The 18347-nt window shown below is 64.8% G+C and overlaps 2 protein-coding genes across 4 annotated transcripts, besides 13 other annotated features; both read right to left on the bottom strand.

Annotated features, from left to right (window-relative positions):
- HDAC10 (histone deacetylase 10) lies at window positions 50–6132 on the bottom strand. Of its 2 annotated transcripts, NM_032019.6 has the most exons (20): window positions 5841–6132; window positions 5638–5772; window positions 5294–5390; window positions 4930–5027; window positions 4727–4831; window positions 4502–4570; window positions 4195–4321; window positions 3970–4035; window positions 3698–3757; window positions 3529–3618; window positions 3233–3339; window positions 3092–3159; window positions 2757–3012; window positions 2559–2643; window positions 1742–1833; window positions 1546–1602; window positions 1165–1243; window positions 777–959; window positions 542–694; window positions 50–397 (listed from the first exon to the last, which is right to left on the bottom strand). In NM_032019.6, exons 1-20 carry the CDS (start codon window positions 5897–5899, stop codon window positions 374–376), a joined length of 2010 nt encoding a protein of 669 aa, NP_114408.3. In that variant the 5' UTR covers window positions 5900–6132; the 3' UTR covers window positions 50–373. The 2 variants fall into 2 exon arrangements, with proteins under 2 accessions (NP_114408.3, NP_001152758.1); NM_001159286.2 differs by lacking the exon at window positions 3698–3757.
- Window positions 193–262: a silencer, noted in NCBI's record as "silent region_13958". NCBI's record gives its function as "represses an Ori minimal core promoter by ATAC-STARR-seq in GM12878 lymphoblastoid cells {active_cell/tissue: GM12878}" and the evidence as "EXISTENCE:reporter gene assay evidence [ECO:0000049][PMID:35858748]".
- Window positions 2397–3319: an enhancer, noted in NCBI's record as "H3K27ac-H3K4me1 hESC enhancer chr22:50685959-50686881 (GRCh37/hg19 assembly coordinates)". NCBI's record gives its function as "activates a minimal SCP1, AML or CMV promoter by ChIP-STARR-seq in naive H9 embryonic stem cells {active_cell/tissue: H9 hESC(naive)}" and the evidence as "EXISTENCE:reporter gene assay evidence [ECO:0000049][PMID:30033119]".
- Window positions 2692–3131: an enhancer, noted in NCBI's record as "active region_19310". NCBI's record gives its function as "activates an Ori minimal core promoter by ATAC-STARR-seq in GM12878 lymphoblastoid cells {active_cell/tissue: GM12878}" and the evidence as "EXISTENCE:reporter gene assay evidence [ECO:0000049][PMID:35858748]".
- Window positions 4477–5323: an enhancer, noted in NCBI's record as "H3K27ac-H3K4me1 hESC enhancer chr22:50688039-50688885 (GRCh37/hg19 assembly coordinates)". NCBI's record gives its function as "activates a minimal SCP1, AML or CMV promoter by ChIP-STARR-seq in primed H9 embryonic stem cells {active_cell/tissue: H9 hESC(primed)}" and the evidence as "EXISTENCE:reporter gene assay evidence [ECO:0000049][PMID:30033119]".
- Window positions 5828–6487: a silencer, noted in NCBI's record as "silent region_13959". NCBI's record gives its function as "represses an Ori minimal core promoter by ATAC-STARR-seq in GM12878 lymphoblastoid cells {active_cell/tissue: GM12878}" and the evidence as "EXISTENCE:reporter gene assay evidence [ECO:0000049][PMID:35858748]".
- Window positions 6978–7147: an enhancer, noted in NCBI's record as "active region_19311". NCBI's record gives its function as "activates an Ori minimal core promoter by ATAC-STARR-seq in GM12878 lymphoblastoid cells {active_cell/tissue: GM12878}" and the evidence as "EXISTENCE:reporter gene assay evidence [ECO:0000049][PMID:35858748]".
- Window positions 7768–16550, bottom strand: MAPK12 (mitogen-activated protein kinase 12). Of its 2 annotated transcripts, NM_002969.6 has the most exons (12): window positions 16252–16550; window positions 16034–16163; window positions 13110–13168; window positions 11949–12060; window positions 11802–11831; window positions 11466–11513; window positions 10952–11066; window positions 10677–10748; window positions 10482–10561; window positions 10320–10398; window positions 10064–10237; window positions 7768–8347 (listed from the first exon to the last, which is right to left on the bottom strand). In NM_002969.6, the coding sequence occupies exons 1-12, from the start codon at window positions 16374–16376 to the stop codon at window positions 8268–8270; spliced, it is 1104 nt and encodes a 367-aa protein (NP_002960.2). In that variant the 5' UTR covers window positions 16377–16550; the 3' UTR covers window positions 7768–8267. The 2 variants fall into 2 exon arrangements, with proteins under 2 accessions (NP_002960.2, NP_001290181.1); NM_001303252.3 differs by lacking the exon at window positions 11802–11831.
- Window positions 13569–14141: an enhancer, noted in NCBI's record as "H3K4me1 hESC enhancer chr22:50697131-50697703 (GRCh37/hg19 assembly coordinates)". NCBI's record gives its function as "activates a minimal SCP1, AML or CMV promoter by ChIP-STARR-seq in primed H9 embryonic stem cells {active_cell/tissue: H9 hESC(primed)}" and the evidence as "EXISTENCE:reporter gene assay evidence [ECO:0000049][PMID:30033119]".
- Window positions 14866–15366: an enhancer, noted in NCBI's record as "H3K4me1 hESC enhancer chr22:50698428-50698928 (GRCh37/hg19 assembly coordinates)". NCBI's record gives its function as "activates a minimal SCP1, AML or CMV promoter by ChIP-STARR-seq in naive H9 embryonic stem cells {active_cell/tissue: H9 hESC(naive)}" and the evidence as "EXISTENCE:reporter gene assay evidence [ECO:0000049][PMID:30033119]".
- Window positions 15789–15968: a silencer, noted in NCBI's record as "silent region_13960". NCBI's record gives its function as "represses an Ori minimal core promoter by ATAC-STARR-seq in GM12878 lymphoblastoid cells {active_cell/tissue: GM12878}" and the evidence as "EXISTENCE:reporter gene assay evidence [ECO:0000049][PMID:35858748]".
- Window positions 16119–16488: a silencer, noted in NCBI's record as "silent region_13961". NCBI's record gives its function as "represses an Ori minimal core promoter by ATAC-STARR-seq in GM12878 lymphoblastoid cells {active_cell/tissue: GM12878}" and the evidence as "EXISTENCE:reporter gene assay evidence [ECO:0000049][PMID:35858748]".
- Window positions 16519–16828: a silencer, noted in NCBI's record as "silent region_13962". NCBI's record gives its function as "represses an Ori minimal core promoter by ATAC-STARR-seq in GM12878 lymphoblastoid cells {active_cell/tissue: GM12878}" and the evidence as "EXISTENCE:reporter gene assay evidence [ECO:0000049][PMID:35858748]".
- Window positions 16839–16888: a silencer, noted in NCBI's record as "silent region_13963". NCBI's record gives its function as "represses an Ori minimal core promoter by ATAC-STARR-seq in GM12878 lymphoblastoid cells {active_cell/tissue: GM12878}" and the evidence as "EXISTENCE:reporter gene assay evidence [ECO:0000049][PMID:35858748]".
- Window positions 16936–17667: an enhancer, noted in NCBI's record as "H3K4me1 hESC enhancer chr22:50700498-50701229 (GRCh37/hg19 assembly coordinates)". NCBI's record gives its function as "activates a minimal SCP1, AML or CMV promoter by ChIP-STARR-seq in naive H9 embryonic stem cells {active_cell/tissue: H9 hESC(naive)}" and the evidence as "EXISTENCE:reporter gene assay evidence [ECO:0000049][PMID:30033119]".

An 18347-nucleotide genomic window follows, 5' to 3' on the forward strand; every position in this document is an offset into this window, starting at 1 on the left:
GGTGAGAGACCGAGGCCGAGCGTGCTCAGTAAAGGAGGCAGAGCCAGCGTTTCGTTTGAGCGATGTTTACTAACGGCGCAAGGGCGGGGAGCGAAGCGCAGCGGGGCGCAGGGGCCGGAACGGGACCGAGCGTGGGTTGCATGGGCCTCGATGGGACGGGCCGGGGCGCGATGGGTGGGGCGGGGGCGAGGTGAGGTGAGGGGTGGAGCGGGGGAAGCACGGGTGGGAGAGGGCGGGGCGCGGGGATTGGGAGTGGGCGGGGTTCCGTGCCCCAGAGTCGAGGGAGCCGTGGGCTTGGGGTCCGGATCGCGGCCGCGGGGCGCTGGCGTGCGGTGTCATTTCTGCGGTGTAAATGCTCCCACCTTGGCCGATTTCAAGCCACCAGGTGAGGATGGCACTACAGGAGGAGCCGAGAAGAGGCGCGCAGTTGGCCTCCGGCGCTGGAGCTGGTTCAGGGCACTCCCCTGCCCTGCCCTCCCCACCGATCTGTGCGGCAGAGCCAGGCCCCAGGGCAGGGCCATGCCTCCGCAGTCAGCCTCACCTGCAACATCTTCCACTGAGGCTCCAGCTGCCCTCTCAGGTACATCAGGGCCTGGACGTCCTCTGGGGAGGCCACAGAGGAAGGGCCTAGGCTAGGAGGTGCCTCTCCATTCAGCACCCGGGCCAGGATCCCTGCTAGCTGGGGTGTGGAGTTCTGGACCAGGGGCGAAGACGGAAGCAGTCACTGGTCCTTTCCCTCGTCCCACCCCGCAGCACCTCCACCCTGCCCAGCTTACCTCCTCCAGGAGGGCCAGGACTCGGCCCCCTGCCAGCCCCCGAAGCATTGCAGCCAGGAGTGCAGCGTGGGGGCCCTGCAGGCCATGGCCAGGCCCCAGCGCCACCAGCACCAGGTCAGGCTGGAAGCCATAGGCCAGGGGCAGCACCAAGCCCAAGATGCAGCTCAGGAAACCACCGGTCATCTGTGGGGACAGCAGAGCCCAGCTCCTCATCTACGGACACCTGCTGGCTCTGGCCTCCCAACCTCCCAATCTCAGGGCCCCTGGAGTAGGAGCAGGGAGACAGGAAGGACCAGAGGCCTGCTATCATGACAATGCCAGCAAACAGCAGCTGTACACATCCATGGGCTCCCCAGCACCTGCCTTGCCGCGTGGCATGGTCACTCACCACTGGCAGTGGCGTGGAGACATGGAACATGGATAGGGCAGCCGCCTCCTTGCCCCTGATGTTCAGCCACAGACTCCTCCTTCCAGGACACAGGTGCATAAGTGTAAGGCCCTGCTCACCCTCCTGAGCCCAAACCGCAGAGGCAGAGGTGGAAGAGCATTCACGGGGCCATGGGCAGGGGTGCTGTGACTGCTGAGCCTCTGTGCTGGAGACCCACCTGGCATTGCCTCCAGCAGCCCTTCTCCCACACCCCAGCTGAGGAAGGCTCCATTCAGTACCACACAGTGCCCCACCCACCCGTCACCCTGGGGCCCAGGCACACGTCCATCACATGCCCGTCCACATGCATGGCTGGACATATGCAAGACCTGAGAGTCCTACCCGTCATGGGCGAGGTCTGGAGGCCGGTCCAGCTGTCCCAGGGCCACGCACAGCAGCCTGGAAGAAGAGCTGGCCTCAGGACAGGTGTTCATGTTGTCCAGAGTCCATTCCCAGAACTCTCTGTGCTTGGCCAGCCAGGATAGGGGTGCCCACAGGTCCTGCCGTCAGAGGCTCAGGATGGCCAAGTGAGGCTTACCTCTGGGCTCCGTGGGACAGGCCTCTCCGAACAGCCACATCCAGGGTGGCTGCTGCAGCAGAGGCTGGAGTGGCTGCTATACCACTGTTCACCTGTGGGATGAATAAACAGTGGAGAATGAGGCACCAACCAACTCCCAAGCCAGGTAAACAGATCCACAGTTCCCTTCATTCGGTGTGTCTCTGCGGCTACTGTCAGCCACACATCTTCTTACACTAAGGTCAATCACTCCATTTCTGTAAATAAGATGCTTACGTCTATAATTTTTTTTTTTTTTTTTAGAGAGGCAGGGTCTCGTTCTGTAGCCAGGCTGGCGTGCAGTGGCGCAATTGTAGCTCACCACAGCCTCAAACTCCTGGGCTTAAGCGATCGTCCTGCCTCAGCCTCCTAAGTAACTACAGGCACACACCACCACGCTTGGCTGACTTTTTTATTTTTTGTGAAGACAGGGTCTCCATATGTTCTCTAGGCTGGTCTTGAACTCCTGGGCTCAAGCGTTTCTCCCACCTTGGCCCCCCAAACTGCCGTTATTACAGGCATGAGCCACTGCACCCTGCCTAAATGTATACTTTAAATCACCCCCTTCACCTCTCTGCCAAAGAGCATTTAACTGAAGAAGCTGAGGTCAGAGGTCAGACACACTAGTGATCCCCACCCCTGGGGCTGTTCTGGGAACAGTTCCTGGCACAAGGCAATGTTCACATCCATGTGGTTCTGCACCACCCAGCCCTCCTCTGGACAGGCCACATCTCGTTGGCAGGTCCTGGTCCCTGCCCCTAGGTCCACAGCATCCCCAACCCCTCCCAGGTGCTCCCACCTGCCCATCCAGCATCCCATCTAAGAGGTACAGGAGCTTCCCAAGTGCAGTGAGGGCCTCCTCCCGGGCCAGGGACTCGTGTGGCCTGTGGTGGACAGACCAGAGGGACACACAGACACGGAGTGACCGCAGGTCAGGCACACACAGGCACAGGTGTAGATGCGGCCCCATCCTTCTCCCCAGGCCAGCCCTGCCCACCTGGCCCAGGCTTCTGTCTCCTCCCTCAGGGCTGACGCTTCCTGTTGGATGACGTCAGGGGGCAGAACCAATGTGATATCCGGCGTTGTCAGGGCAACAGCGGTGCGGACAGAGGGTGCGGGGCAGAGGCACGGCTGGTCCAGGAGGGAGCTCGGTGCAGATGCAGCTGCCTTACACACTGGACCCCCAGGCAGCAGAGGTGGAGGCCTCCCCTCTGGGGAGTGGCTGCTGGGGCTCATCGGCACAGCGGTCACATCTAGGGACAGTTCGGAGTCATAGCCACTGCACAGGAGCCCGAGGTGGGATCCTGCAGCCTAGCACCCGGCCACACTGACCTTGCTGCTGGAGGCTCTTCCAGTGCGGGGCCTGGGCAGCACGGGCACTCTGGATGGACTCTAGGGCACTGTGAGGGAGACACAACAGTCGTGACACCTGGTCTCACACCCCGGCCCTGCCCGCCCTACCTCCCCTCGCACCTCTGACATGGCGCCATTGGCCCTGACAGGGGTGGGGCCGGGTCACCCAGCAGCGTCTGTACTGTCATGCACACTGACTCCGCCAGTGACTCCAGGTGGTAGCCGCCCTGGGAGGAGGGTGGAGACATGATTGGGGCAGAGATATCACTGGGATGGGATGTCACCGGGAGAGCCCCTGCCTGGCTCTATCCCGGGCAGGACGCCCCTCCCAAATACCCCGTGGGCACCTGGCTCCCATGCTCCTGACCCCCAGGCCTCTGGCCCAGAGACCCTCCCTGTGTGCCCTCCCCAGTCACCTCCAGCACGGCACAGACCCGGCCGCCGGCCAGCACCTGCAGCAGCTGTGTGAGGTGGGCGAAGCACTCTGGCGTGGCCTGCATTTGCCCCTGGAACCAGAGCCATGTGTGATGGGGGACCTGGGCCCCAGGACCCCAGAAGCCCTCCCTGGCAAGGCAAGGCCCTCACCTCAGGGTCCCCGATGGCTGAGTCAAATCCTGCCGAGACCAGCACCAGCTCAGGGTCAAACTACAGGCCAGGCCGGAGTGGGGAGGGTCGACAGAGAGGGGCTGGAGCCCAGGTGAGGGCGAGCCAGGCCCATCCCATCCCCTCCTGAGCACCTTCCCCAGCCACACAGGAGTGGGACAGCTCATAACCCTCCTCCTGCCTTCACTGGCGCACTCCAGGCACAAGGTCCCCCTCCCACCCGGCTGCCCTGGGGGAGCCCTCCGTGCAGTCACCTCAAAGGCCAGTGGGAGCAGCAGGTGCAGGAAGGCAGCCACGTAGTCAGCGTTTCCCATCCCAACCTGGCAGGACATCCCAGGCTACATCCTGAACTGTGGGGCAGGGGAGGGGCCCGGGGGAGGGGGTGGGTGGGGACCTGGGGCTTGAGGGTGAACTGTGGGGGAGGGGAGGGGCCCAGGGGGAGGGGGCTGGGTGGGGACCTGGGGCTTGAGGGTGGGCACCTGGTTCCAGGGCAGGTTGACAGTGAAGCCGAGGCCCTGTCCCCGCCCCACTGCGTCTGCATCTGACTCTCGCAGGAAAGGCCAGAAGCGCCCATGCTCATAGCGGTGCCAGGAGAAGTAAAGGACGCTGCCAACAGCCAGCCAGGGCCAGAGGTCAAAGGTCAGGACCCTCAACAGCTCTACAGCTCCCTGTAGAACGCTGACCCCTGAGCACATGTCTGTATCTCACCCCTGGATTTTCCCAGGCCAGGCTGTGCACCCAAAAACTGGGGCTGCAGGGAAGGGTGGTTTCCGCACCCCTGCTCACCTGGGGTCATCCTCAAAGAGATACTGGATCCCCTGGCCATGGTGCACATCCCAGTCCACGACGAGGATCCTGGGTACAGACAGCGCTGGTGGCAAAGGGGCAGGGCCTCCCACCTCCAGGAGCCCGGCCAGGGATGGGAAGGTGCTGGCTGGGTTCTCTCGCCTCCTGCGCTGCCCCTTGCTGTGTGGCCTGGGCCCACCCCCCTGCAGCCAGCCTGGCACACACCTGTGTAGCCCGTGTTTCTGCTTGGCATGTGCAGCTGCTATGGCCACGTTGTTGAACACACAGAACCCGTTGGCAGCCGCCCTCTGGCCATGGTGCCCGGGAGGCCTACGGCGTGAGAGTAGGATTTGGGTCACGTCAGGGTCGCCCTGGCCCCTCACAGGGCCACCCACGGAGGAGCAGCCAGGGGAAGGGGCAGCTCTCACCTCACCAGGGCAAGCCCATTTTGCACAGCTCCAGTGAGCACAGCGTCCACCAGCTGCAGTCCAGCCCCTGCGGCCAGCCGCGCGCAGTGAAAGGTACTCTGTGGGCGCAGGGGCGCAGATGAGCCCCCTGCCTTCCCTGCTGCCCTTTGCAGGCCATACCCACACTTGTGCCAGGCTGCAAGACACCAGCTGCTGAGCAGAACAGGCCAGCCCCAGGCTCTGGCAGTGCCAGCAGGCAGGTGTGCAGGGCAATGTCATGTGTATGGACCAGGGGACACTGGCTGGGGTTGGCGGCCGTGGCTGTGAACGCTCAAAGGCACGTGCATGTGTGTCTGCACAGGTGAGTGTGTCCGGGGACACGCACCGGGTGGAAGTAGATGGCGTCGAACTGTCCGGACAGCGCCTGCAGCTCCTCCTTGCCTAGGACCTGGGTCTCCCTGACCAGGGATACATACTCTGGGCTGCATGCAGATGGGCAGGCAGGAGAGGCAGGGTCACCAGCAGGAGCAGGGGGGCGGGAGGCGGGGACCTGGGATTCATGGTGGGAGTGGCCACCCTGTCACTTCCTCAAGCCTGTGAGCCCACCCGAGGTGCATAGGGAGAGGCTCTGTATTCGAGGCTGGCAGGCTCGGGGTAGGCCCAGGTTCTTAGGTTTCTAGCTGGGCTGCCCGCCCCGCCCCCCATCGTGGGGCCTGCCCCCGTCCTGACCTGTGCACCAGGCCCAGCTCCTCTTCCGAGGCCTCGCGGGCTGACAACCGCAGACACCTCTGTTCCAGGCCGCGCTGCCGCAGGCGATCCAGGGCTGCGGTCAGGCGCTCAGGACGCTCGATCTCGCACTCGGGGCTGGGGCAGATGAGGAGCTCAGTTCAGAGGTCCCTCCCCGCACCCCACCTCGGCCAGGTCCCACTTACTCGTCCCAGAGCAGCCGGGTGGCCGTCATGTCCTCATGGTACACAAGCGCGGTCCCCATGGCTGCGCCGTGGTCACCCTGGGTTCCCAAACGCCCTCGCTAGTGGTGCCTGCCACTGCCTGTCCCCACCTTCGGCCGGGAGCAGCCGGAGGCCTGGGACCTGCCTGGGGCGCAGGCGGGCGGCGGGCACCGGCCTGGGCGGGAGCGCACAGAACCTAGGCAGGCTCCGGGATCCCAGGCGCGCAGAAGGCACGGAGCGAGGCTGCAGTCGAAGGGGGAGGCTCCCCGCGCCTGGCTTCCGGCTTCCTCGCCTCGGACCTGGGTCCCGCCCCGCGCCCTGCTCCCGGTCGCTATCGCGAGCTCCGCCCCGGAGCGAGGAACCAGCGGGCGCGGAAGCCTCGGCGCCCCGAGCCGCCAGCCCTCGGAGCTGCGCTGCGGCTCCGCCTCCCCATTGGCCCCGCCCCGATCCCCTCCAAGAGGGGCGGGGTCCCCCGGCCTTAGGCGAGTGGTCGCCGCAGCCCCACCCGAACGCCCGTGGCCGAGCCTGCCCATGAGAGCCCCGTTCTGCACCAGCTGGGTCAGGGTCCAGCGCAGCCCCAAGGCCCACCCGGCCCGGGCGCAGGAAGACCTGGGGTGAAAGGCGAGGGGGGCGAGGGGTCTGCAGGGCAAAGGCCACGAGGCGGGAGGAGCCCGCGGGGAGGCAGGTGGCGCTGCGGCCGGCTCAGGGCGGTGGTCGTGGCTGCATGGAGGCGCAGCACCGCCCCCGAGGTTTAAGGAGGGAGTGAGTCCGGTTCTAGCTCCAAGAAGACCCCTGGCCCAAGAGCAGAGTCAAGGTCGGTGGAGGTGGGGACACTGGACCGGGGTTGCGGTAGCATGGTGGGGGACTGAGGAAGATAGGAGGCACGGGCACAGCCACGGAGGAAGATGCCCGAGAGGAAACCTGAGGCCCCCTGGAGCCCAGGGGACACCCTGCCCCCGCGGGAGTTCACATCCAGCTGGGTCACAGAATTTTGGGGCCCCCAGTCCTCAGGCCACCTATGGGCCCACACTTTGGGCCCAGTGTGGACAGCAGCCATGCCACAAGTCAGCGTGGCTCCGGAACTGATGGCGATCACGTCCCCCAGGCCCGGATGCCCTGGAGAGGCATGAGGGTCGCTGGGCAGAGAAGGCCCATCTGTCGTGGCAGCTCATCAGGTCCACTTTGGCTGGGCCAGCTGTGGGCATGTCCACCGAGGACACCTGGCCTGCCCTGCCCTGCCCCTCACTGGTCTCTCTGCTGTAACCCCTGCCCTGGGACAGGTTTGGAGGTGCCCATGGCCTGTGTTCCAGCCGCCACCCTTGGAAACACCGAGTGGCCTGCAGAGGGCGGCCTGGGCACGAAGATACCACTGGAGCAGGGTAGTAGGGGCTAGAGGTTTGATCAAGAATAAAACCCAGCCCTCTGCGCTCACCAATCCACCACAGGGGCCAGAGGGGTCTCAACATGTCCAATGTGCCCCGTCCCCCCAGGGACTGGCTGGCGCTCACCACTTCACCACAGGGGTCTCAACGTGCCCAGCGTGCCCCCTCCCCCCAGGGACCTGCTGGCATTGGAGGATGCAGAGAGCTAGGGTAGATCCTAACACTCCTCCCCATCAGGCCCTGCCCCTGGGTCTGGCTTCAGGATCCACACACAGTGGCTTAGAGTCTAAGCCATTAGCAGGTCACCCCGTAAAAGGGGAGGGGCCAAGCCCTAACGTGGGGGTTCGAAGATCACTGGCACAGGCCTGGGGGAAGTGGGCACCAGCTTTGTGGCCTGGGAGAGATGGGATGCTCAGGCCCCCCTCCTGGCTCTAAGGGTCTGAGCTATCAGGCCAGCCTCCTCTACATGCAGGCCAAGGGCCCGGAGGTCTTAAGGTGGGACCCGGCATGAGGACGCACAGCCAGAACAGGGAGCTACAAAAGGGTCTATTTCCTTCCAGCCACGCGGGCACCACACAGCTGATTTACATTCCAGGCTGGGGGTGCAGGAAGGTCCACTGACGTCGCCCAGGAGAGGGGATGTCCCTGAGTTGGTGCCCTGCGCCCACCCTCTGTCCTTCCTCTGCATGGCCCAGAGCAGGCAGGGCTCAGAGGCCAAGGCCTGATCTGGAGCCCCACCAGCTCTGAGGTTTCTGAGAGCACCGGGCAAGTGGGCCACTGCTCCAGGGATCAGAGGCCATCCCCAGGTCGGCCAGAGGTCTTGTCCAGAAAGTTCAGGTGCTCCTCCATGATGGGCGCCCAAGAGCAGAGGCATGGCCGTGGGGAGGAGGGTCCATGGAACCCGGGCGTCTGCTCTGATGGATGCCTTGGGATGCAAGCCCCAGCCAAGGTCAAGGTGGCAACGAGAGTCCCCTCTCAGGTGGAAGGTGAAGGTGGTCCTCACTGCCACCCCGGAGCCCAGAGATCTTCACAGAGGCGTCTCCTTGGAGACCCTGGCCCCCAGCTGCCGGGGAGGCTTGAAGCTGAGCACCTCTTTGTAAGTAACACCTGGCGGGGGTGGGGGGGCGGGCACAACAGAGAGGGGGGTCAGCCTTTGCCTTCCATCCTGGGAGTCGCTCACAGACACGCCTGGCGGTGCCTCGTGGGGCCCTTCTCTAATCCTAATGTGGTCTGAACCACTGAGAGAAGGTTTGTGTGAAGAGGCCATTGCTCTAGATCTGGATTTTCCAGGGAAAGGGGAGGTGGCCAGGGCTTGGCCACATGTCCACCACGGTCTGTCCTAAGAGCTGAGGCCTCAGCCACAGTTGTGTGGGTGGGGACTACAGAGAGGATCCTATGGCCCATGGCTTTCAAGTTATCTTTCTAGCAGCAGAAACCTTTAATCAAACAAAGCCAAACTCATAAGCACACGAATATGCACACAGCGAAGGGTGGAGGCCCTGCTGCGGGCACCCAGGGACCCGTGGTCGTAAGGAGCACATGTGAATCTCAACCCATCCAGCCCCACCCAGCCAGTGTGGAGGACCAAGGTCCCGCACCCGAGGCAGAGCCAGGACAGGGCCTGAAACATGGCACGGCTCCCAGTGTACACCTACTTTCCCCGGGCACACCCACCCCAGGCTGGTCATGCAGCCATGAAGAAGACACAGCCTGCCATCCTGGAGCAGAAATGAAGCCAGGTCCAGCACAGCCTCAGGCCGCAGCATAGCTGCGGGAGCTGGGGAGGCTTCTCTGAGTCCAGCCTGAGGCTGCACAGGCTTTGGCCAGCCCTCCAAGTTGAGGGGATAGCCCCTGGTATAGGGGATGATGGACCCCAGCAGTTGGGGTTGGAGTCTGGACTGCTTAGCGGGGGCTGGGGGAGACAGGCGAGGCCCTGGGGACTGTCTTGGGTATACAGTTGTCCAGGGGGGAGGGATCCTAAAGTGGGGCAAGGAGAGGGCTGGGCGCGGTGGCTCACGCCTGTAATCCCAGCACTTTGGGAGGCCGAGGCGGGCGGATCACGAGGTCAGGAGATCGAGACCATCCTGGCTAACACGGTGAAACCCCGTCTCTACTAAAAATACAAAAAATTAGCCAGGCCTGGTGGCGGGCGCCTGTAGTCCCGGCTACTCGGGAGGCTGAGGCAGGAGAACGGTGTGTACCCGGGAGACGGAGCTTGCAGTGAGTCAAGATCGTGCCACTGCCCTCCAGCCTGGGCATCAGAGTGAGACTCCGTCTCAAAAAACAAAAATGGGGCAAGGAGAGGCAAGGACAGATTCAGGAGGTGTGAGCAGAGAGGCCTTAGGGACAAGCGGACGTGGTGAGGGTGTCAGGGTGGCCCAGGTCTCTGGCCTGGACATGGCGGAAGGGCAGCAGGTCTGGGGGCCAGGAGGGGCTAAGTGGGCCCTGGTTCCCTGACTCACAGCTGCCTTTCACCACTCCCGGCTCCTTCTGTGCCAGCCTCTGTGCTGAGCCTGCCAGGAACACCCTTCCCTTCAACTTCCAGCTCCAGCCAGAGGTCATCTCCACCAGGCCACACGGCCCCATGCTGCCCTGACCTCCCATCCTCCTCACCTGACCTGCATCCCAGGGATGGGGATCTAGGACTCTGAGCCTGGCCACCTGCACAGGGCCCACAGGGTCCACACAGGCCCTACCCGGAGCCCCCAACTCACGGGTCCACACAGGCCCTACCCGGAGCCCCCAACTCACAGGTCCACACAGGCCCTGCCCAGAGCCCCCCACTTGGGTCCACACAGGCCGTGCCAGGAGCCCCCCACTCACGCTTCCATTCATCCAGTGTGCGGTCAACGTCGTCAAAGGAGTCATCATACTTCTGGACCTGGGGCTCATCTTCCGTGTCGTGCAGGGACTCGAAGTAGGGATGGGCCAGCGCCTCGCCTGCCGTCACCCGCTGCTCCGCGTCCAGCACCAGCATCTTCTCCAGGAGGTTCACAGCTGCGGGGGAAGGTGCATCAGGCCAGACCACGGGAGGCCCCACACTCCAGCACCCGGTGGCCCCCACACTAGCCAGCCGTACCCAGAGGGCTTGCATTGGTCAGGATAGAGGCAAAATCCTTCTTCTCCAATTCGGGGAGGCCCTTCATGTAGTTCTTGGCCTGTGTGGGAAGAAAGGGTGAGGGGCCAACACCAAGGCCCAGGTCCGCCCCCACCCCCACCCAGCTCCCCACTCACCCCTTACCTCATCGCTCTGCAGCCGCTGCACAAACTCAGCCGGAGGCGTCCCCGTCACCTTCATGATCTCCTTCAGCTGGTCCAGGTCTGCACCGAGGTCAGGAACACAGCTCGGGGGCCAGAGATCAGGGCCCCCACTGCCCCCACCTGGGCAGGAGCCATCCCCACCCGCCCCTGGTGCCGCCCTGCGGCTGGAGGATACGGTCGCTGCCCTTGAACAGCGTCTTGCCTGTGATCATCTCCGCCATGATGCAGCCCACAGACCAGATGTCCACTGAGATAGAAGCCCTGGTCAGCTCCGTGGGCAGGGGGACAGGATGAGACGGGGAGGGAGGAGACACCAACACAGCCCACCTGCCCGGCTCCCACCCCAGCTCAACAGCCTCCCTGGGAGCAGCCACCACAGGGCTGTCCGTGAAGAAGTGGAGAAGCAGATGGTGCAGCCTGAGAGGCCCAGATCTCTGGGCAGCTTCTCACCCGTCTGCGTGTAGCGCATCCAATTCAAGATGACCTCGGGAGCCCGGTACCACCGGGTCACCACGTACCCAGTCATCTCACTGTCTGCCTGCCTGGCCAGGCCGAAGTCCAGGATCTGTGGGAAGAATTGGGGAGGTGGGTTCTAGGGGACTCCCAAGGAGCGGACAGGCCACCCACGGTCCAGGAGACCCCGGGGGGTTGGACTTGAAGCTCCCAAGCTGGGGCCTCCTGACAACCTTCAAGGACTTGAGGCCACGCCCTCGGACCCCAAACTGCCCCGAGCTCCTCCCTCTGGCCAGTGCACCAAGCCCAGCAGCCCTCGGGACGGAGCAGGTGCCCTGGGTACGGCATGTTGTGTACCACTGCCTCTTGGGCTCACCCACCCACCAGCTCCTCAGCCACTGCCCAGAGCCTGGGACCTTGGCCCCCTGCCCAGGCCTGACAGGTGGATAGATGGGCAGATCCAGAGGGGGCCCCTGCCCCACCTCAGGGCCCCCTGCCAGGCAGCACACACCTTCAGCTCACAGTCTTCGTTCACAGCCAGGTTGCCGGGCTTCAGGTCCTGGGGGCAGAGGAAAGGTGGCCACTGTGCCCCACCCTCCCAAGCATGGGCACAGCCAAGAGCCTGGGTGGCACCTAAAGATGGGGCCACCGGACCTGGCCCCCTTGCTCTCTGCAGCCCTTCAAGGGCAGACCAAGGTACCTGGGCACCCAGGCAGGTTCCCACCAGGGGCTGTGCATAGGGCGTGGCTCAGCACCCAGACCCCATCACATCCTCACAGGTGGGACGTGGAGGCGGGGGGATTGCACTGGGGGAGGGCTGATGAGCGGCTTCTCCACCGGGACTCACTCTGTGGATGATGCCGGCAGCGTGGATATACTGCGGGGGGCAGAGGATTTGGCAGGCTTCAGCGCACCCTCTCAGAGCCACAGGGCCCTCCTCTGCCCAGCCCCGAGGCCCTGCCTGCCTCCCTGCAGCCTCCCCCGGGGCCCGTACCCTCAGCCCCTTCAGCATCTGGTACACGAGGAACTGGATCCGGTCCTCGCCTAGCTTCTCATGTTTCATGAGCTTGCCCAGGTCGGTGCCCATGAACGGCATCACCAGGTAACTGTGGGAGGGGCCGGAGCGCTGTCAGCGGACAGAGCCAGCCTCTGCATCCCAGAGACCCACCCAGCAGGCCCAGGCTCAGACCCGTCCCGGATCCAACAGGCACCCCCAGGAAGGTCACCCCTGCAGCACACATCCACACTGGCCTCGGTGTCCTCGCAGCCCCACCTTGCAGTGCCAGGCTCCATCCTCCCGCAACTGTTACTGCCAGCAGCGCTCACACCCCCCTCCCACCCTGAGGACTGTCAGGCAGGGAGGAGGCTGCCTTGGGGTTTTTGAACCCTCCGCTGAAGCGCCCTGCGTGCCAGGCTAGGGGCTGAGGCTCCATGGTAGAGGCAGCAGGACTCGAGTCTTCACAGGCAGGGGAGGGAGGCAGTCAGGTTTCAACTTCACAACTTTGTGCCAGAAATGAGGGAGGTGCCTGGGGGCGATGGGGGCGCGGCAAGGCATCTGGGTCAGAGGGGTCGGCTGGGCCGGTGGAGACAGACACAGGAGAATGGTATTTAGCACCTTCCCAGAGGCCACTGACTTGACCTCTGCAAGTCAGGCGGGAGGCGCCTGCTACCCTCTCCAGGCCTTCCTCGGCCTGGCCCTTCACTCTTGGCCGACAGGGTGTGAGTCCCAGGGTGGTCGGCTGCAGGGCAGGGGCAGGGTGGGTCCTCCCTACCGCTTCTCCCCCACCCGCTGGAAAAGGTCAGCAGCTCCAGTTACCGGCCACACACTTGGTGCCAGGGTCCCGAGCACGGGACCTTCCTGTTAACAAATGGTCAGGTCCAAGGTTCACACCTCCGGTGCTGGAGAGGGCCCAGGTGCCAGGCGTGGAGAGAGGCAGCAGCCCCAGCTCTGCCCAGCTGTGCCAGTGCCCGTGGGTCCCAGGACCATGTGGGGGAGGGCGTGGGGTGGACAGTGGTATGGGGAGGGGGTGGGCGGTGTGCATCCCCCACTCAGGCTGCAGGAAGAGAACCCCATTGCCAACCTAGAACCTGAAGCCAGTGCCCAGAGCTGCCCAACACCCCTCGTGCCCAGCGGCCAGCCCAGGTCGGCACTCACAAGTCCGTGAAGTCATCCAGGGTCTCATCAGGAGTGAATACGTCCAGCAGCCCGATCACCTGGGGGGGCCACATAGGGTTGAGAATGCAGCAGAGGACACGGGCTGGGGCACCCCCCAAGAGTGGCACAACCCTCTGGGCAGGAAACCCCCTCTGCAGCTGTCATTGTCATGCCCCACTGTCCAAAGGGCCTGGCTCTGCCCACTGGCAGTGTGGCCCAGCCCTGGCACACATACCCACTGGCAGTGTGGCCCAGCCCTGGCACACATACCCACAGAAAGGTTATTTTTGGACGGTGACAACCGGGATCTTCTGGGGGAGGGGCAACCCGGAGTCTGGGATGGCTCCGAACCATCCAAAGGGCTCCTGCCGCCTGACCCTTTCACCCCTCTTCACCCCAACCAAACAGATCCAGGCCCAGGGTGGGGACAGCGCTATGGAAAGAGGCCAGGCCTCTGCTGGTGAGGCCCAGGCGGACAGCACCGTGACCCACCAGACCTGGTCCCCTCAGCACCCCTGGTTGGGGAGATAGACAGTAGACAGGTCATGTGACAACTGCCGCCTCAGCATTTTGGGGTGACGGTCCCAGGGAGGCCTGGAGTTTTGCACAGCCAAGGGTGGAGGGGCAGGTAGACATGTGGGCTGCGGGACACCTGGCAGAGGGCACACACAGAGTGGCCGAGGCAGGAGGGAGCACACTTGGATAGTTTGAAGAATACAGGGAGGGAGGCCAGGTGGCGGAGGCCCAGGCCAGGGAGGGGCTGAGGAGAGGCCAGAGGGAGCCGGCAGGGCAGCACACACCAGGTGGAAGTTTGGCTTTGATCCCAAGAGACGGGGACGATTTAAATGGGGACGTGAGGCTAAATGCGTCCTCCTGGCCGTGGTGTAGGAACCGGCCAGAGTGAGGTAAGAATGGACACAAGCTGGAAGGACAGCTCCGCCGGAGCCACGTGGGCCAGAGCCATGGGCAAGAATGTGGAGGGAGGAGGAGAGGGAACAGAGGGGGTGTCCAGGGGGCAGCGGGGACTGTGGACATGAGAGCTGGAGGGTGCCCGGGAGAGTGCTTTAGCAGAAGACGGAGAGCAGGGTCCTGTGGGCTAGGGGCCACAGGACTTGGCCTGGCCTCTGTGGTATGGGGGCTGGCCTGGAGAGGGAGGCGGCCTGGCAGGACTGAGGCCTGTGGCAGAGCCTCCTCCCCCGCTGAGCAAGGCACGTGGCCTCACAGAGCTTCAGTCTCCCAGGAAGATGGGGTTCCAGGGAAAGAGCCTCAGCTGCAGGCCAGGAGCCCAGGGGGTGGGCCCACAGGCACAGCGGAGATCCCAGCACAGCGGGGCGGTGGCTAAAGAAAAGCCCCGGTGGAGCCCGGCGCGGTGGCTCACGCCTGTAACCCCAGCACTTTGGGAAGCCGAGGCGAGCAGATCACTTGAGGTCAGGGGTTCGAGACCAGTCTGCCCAACATAGTGAAACCTCATCTCAACTAAAAATACAAAAAATTAGCCAGGCGTGGTGGCGCGCGCCTGTAATCCCAGCTACTGAGGAGGCTGAAGCAGGAGAATCGCCTGAACCCAGGACGCGAAGGTTGCAGTGAGCTGAGATCGTGCCATTGCACTCCAGCCTGGGCAACAAGAGCGAAACTCGGTCTCAAAAGAAAAAAAAAGAAAAAAAGCCCCAGAGCGCTTGGCTGGATGGGGCAAGGCACGGGTGGGTGAGTGGGTGGGTGGGAGCAGGGGGCCGTGGGGAAGGCTGCAGTCCTGGGGCAAGGCCTTGGTGTGATGGGCGGGTGGTGGGGGGGTGCGGTGCCGGCGAAGTGGGGGCAGGGCTGGGTGTGACGGGGTGTCGAGGTGCGGGCAGGGCTGGTGTCCACTGCAAATGGATTTCACAGGGCCCAGGGTAGTGAGCTGGGGGTCAGGGTGGGCATGGGAAGCCTCAGAGAAAAAGACCCATCCAAGGGGCTGAGGGAGTAGCGGTGGCCAGGAACCGGGGGACGGGGCACTTTGCTGGTGGACGGGGCACTTTGCTGGTGGACGCAGGGACTCGTTCTCCCAAGGCACCGGTGGCTCAGATGACCCAGGAGGGTCCAGAGCATCTCACCCTGTAGGTAGGGTCCGGGTGCCCAGACCACCAGCCCTCAGGCTGGGCCCAGACCAGGGGGAGGGCAGGAGTGACGTGGGGGGCAGTGGACAAGTGGGACTGTATCCAGAAACCAGAGCACCCCTGGCAGAGAGATCGGGTTCTTAGCAGCCAGCCACCGCCATGGGAGAGGCCCAGGGCAGCTGTACGTGGCATCTCACTGGAAGGACTGGAAAGGATGGGCCCCCACAACGCACAGGAGGGTGTCTGTGAGGCGGCCACCACGCCCAGTGCTCCTCAAACAGCAGCTCCCTAAACCCTTCACCCCCAGGGGCTCCTGAGGGTTCAACACACTCCCTGCGTTCTGGCGCCCCCCTCCTCCCCCTCCACCACCGGGTCGGAAGACTCGGGAGATGGACAGCAGCAGAGTGGGCTCCACAGAGGGGCTGGAAAGGGGATGGGGAAGAGGGAAGGTGCCCCTTCCAGGAAAATCCTCCCGCCGGGAGCATGCTCTCACCGCGGGCTTCCTGGCTGGGGGCAAGGCTTGGCGTGAGACCTGGAGGATCCCCTGGGCCTGGCCAAGTCGTGTTCCCTGACCAGGGCCTGGCTGAGGCGCCGAGTCAAGGGGCTGAGTCCTTCCCGGGGCTGGCGGAGGATGGGGAACGGCCCTTGGGGGAGTCGTCTCCCAAGGAGAGACAGGCCTTGCTCTCCTTCTCCCCTGGGGACCCACGGCCCGACCCCCGCCCGGCCCCACAGCAGGCTGCCTGGAGGAGGGGTTGCCGGGTGGGGGAACCCAGCCCAGCTGAACCAAGCCGAGGCCGCGGCGCCTTCCCGGAGCGGGGCCGCGCGACTCACGTTCTCGTGGCGCATGTGCTTGAGCAGGCGCAGCTCGCGGTAGGCGCGCTTGGCGAACAGCTCGGACTGGAAAGGCCGATACAGCTTCTTGATGGCCACCTTAGCGCCGGTGCGGCCGTCCACGGCCGAGCTGCGGGGCGGACCGCTTAGCGGGAAGGCCGGGCACCCCGCGCAGGCCCCGCCCGCCCCGCCGGCCGCCCCGCCCGGCCCGCGCTCACCACACCGCGCCGTAGGCGCCCGAGCCCACGGGCTGCAGGTCCCGGTACACGGCGCGCACCTCCCAGGCCGTCTTGGTCACCTCCTGGCGGTAAAAGCCACTGCGGGCGGGCGGCGGAGAGCTCATGGCAGGCCCGGGAGCTGCCCACCCCGCAGAGCCTGCGGGCGGTGCCCCCACGACCGGGGACGGGGCTCCCTCGGCGCGCGCCTCGGGCCGGCTCCGCGCCGCTCGTCCGCTCGCCCGCCCGCCCGCCGGCCGCTGGGGCGCTCCCGCTCCCGGCCCTTCCCTCAGGGATGTCCCAGGTGCCGACCCCGGCCCGACCCCGACCCAGGCTGCGCACGGCCCCTCCCCCGCCCGGGGACCAACCGGCCCGCGGGCGGCGCGCACGTGACGCCCTCGCCCGCCCTCCGGCCCCTCCGGAAACCCGAGGCGGCCGCCGCCGGGGGAGGGCCGGAGCCTGGGGAGGGCCGGAGCCTGGGGGGAAGCGCAGGGGGAGGGGAGCGCCGCCCCGCAGCTTCGTCCCCATAAAGGGCCGGACGCGGCGCGGAGATACCTCTGCCAGCCTCTCCCCTTTGGCTGAACTTCCCCGCCCTGGGGGGGTCTCAGCAGGAGCCCCCCCCCCCCCCCCCCGCCCGCTCCAGTCCTAACTCCCCACGGCTCCAGGGCGCAGGGCCCATCCTTGACAGCCTGAGCGCTGACTTCTATGGCAGCCGCAAGTCGGGCTGAGCCCTGTGTTCCCGGGGTCAACTTCGCAGGCCACCCCCAAGGATGCCCTACCACTGAGCCTGATCCATCCGTCCCCCAACAAGGGGTCCATCTGCACCTGTCCTGCCTGTATCCCTCTTTCTACACGGAGGGGTCTGTCCCCCAAACTCCTCAGGCTGCATCCCCAACCCCACTCCTGTGGCCACTGACCCCGGGCCTCTCAGTCCCATAGGTCCCCGTGGGCCCTTTTGGACCCCCAGCTCCTCCCCCTGCTCCCCCCATCTGTGGGGTGCCTGCTCCAAGCATTGCAAGTACTGGTGTCTCTGCCCATCCCACCCCTGCCTGTCCTGTCCTGCAAAACCCAGGCTGAGAGTGGCTGCACTCTCTCCAGCAGGGATGGGGACCTGCTGGGGCCCTCCGCCTGACCCCTCTGTGTGGGCATTGTCCTCCCATAGGTCTGGCCCCATCCTGGACCAGATGCTCCTGAGGGCAAAGCCCCACCCTGACACCCCTTCACCAGCCCAGGAACCTGGATCTCAGAAGGGATGTTGGGGCACCCCAGGAGCCCACTGGGCTGGTGGGTAACAGGATCCCTAGGGCCTTCTGCCCCGCCCTCCTGCCATGAATCAGCAGCTCAGCCGCTCAAGGGTGGTAGTAGCTTTACACCTGGGCTTGGGCCGTGCTCCACGGCATTCACCAGCTCGTGACCAGTGAGCGGGGCAGCCCAGGGCCACCCAAACCACAGCTGCCTGTGGCCCATACCCTTTGTGCCCTGGGCTGCCTGTGGCACTCCATCCACCTCTTCCAGGAAGCCCAGCTTCCACGCTGTCCCCCTTACTCCCCGTGGTGGGGCTCAGGGGTCCAGCAGGCCCTGCACGGACCAGGCTTCTGAGGTGGGGCTGTGTCACCATTCTCCTCCCACCCCCAACCGCCAACACTGGACTTCCCCCGGGATTGACCACTACACTGACCAGGCCCCAGGAGGCCCCCAACTCCCAGACGGTTTCCACCCCTACCCAAGACCCAAGCAAGGGCACAGACTGTCCCTGGTCCTTAGAGACACTGCCTGACCCCAAATGGCCTGGACCCTCCCCCACACATAAGCTGCAGCGCGTAGTGGGAACGGGACCAGCGTGCACATTCCCTGGGTTAAAGTGGCCTCTTTTTCCTTCACCAGGAGGGAAAGGAAAGCTATTTTCCCTACCCTGCCCAGCCCCCACCCAGGGATGGGCAGACCCTTGCTCCTTGAGACACCCAACTTCTCCCCAGCCAGCTTCCCTGAACACTGAGGGGTAGGCGGGGGTGGTGTCTGGATCTTGGCCCAAAGCCAAGCCTGCCCAGTACATCCCCACAGGGCAGCTGGGGTCACCATCTGGGTGGCTGTCACACCCT

The sequence above is a fragment of the Homo sapiens genome, chromosome 22, assembly GCF_000001405.40.
Source record: "Homo sapiens chromosome 22, GRCh38.p14 Primary Assembly".
In the NCBI taxonomy this organism is placed as follows: Eukaryota; Metazoa; Chordata; class Mammalia; order Primates; family Hominidae; genus Homo; species Homo sapiens.

Coding starts and splice junctions, on each gene's coding strand:
- HDAC10 (NM_032019.6), bottom strand. CDS start 5,899: ATGGGGACCGCGCTTGTGTACCATGAGGACATGACGGCCACCCGGCTG. Junction 4,036..4,194: donor TCAACCTGCCCTGGAACCAG/GTGCCCACCCTC, acceptor ATGTCCTGCCAG/GTTGGGATGGGAAACGCTGA. Junction 3,013..3,091: donor GAAGAGCCTCCAGCAGCAAG/GTCAGTGTGGCC, acceptor AACTGTCCCTAG/ATGTGACCGCTGTGCCGATG.
- MAPK12 (NM_002969.6), bottom strand. CDS start 16,376: ATGAGCTCTCCGCCGCCCGCCCGCAGTGGCTTTTACCGCCAGGAGGTG. Junction 12,061..13,109: donor CTGGATGACTTCACGGACTT/GTGAGTGCCGAC, acceptor CCCCTCCCACAG/TTACCTGGTGATGCCGTTCA. Junction 8,348..10,063: donor CACACTGGATGAATGGAAGC/GTGAGTGGGGGG, acceptor CACCCCCGCCAG/GTGTTACTTACAAAGAGGTG.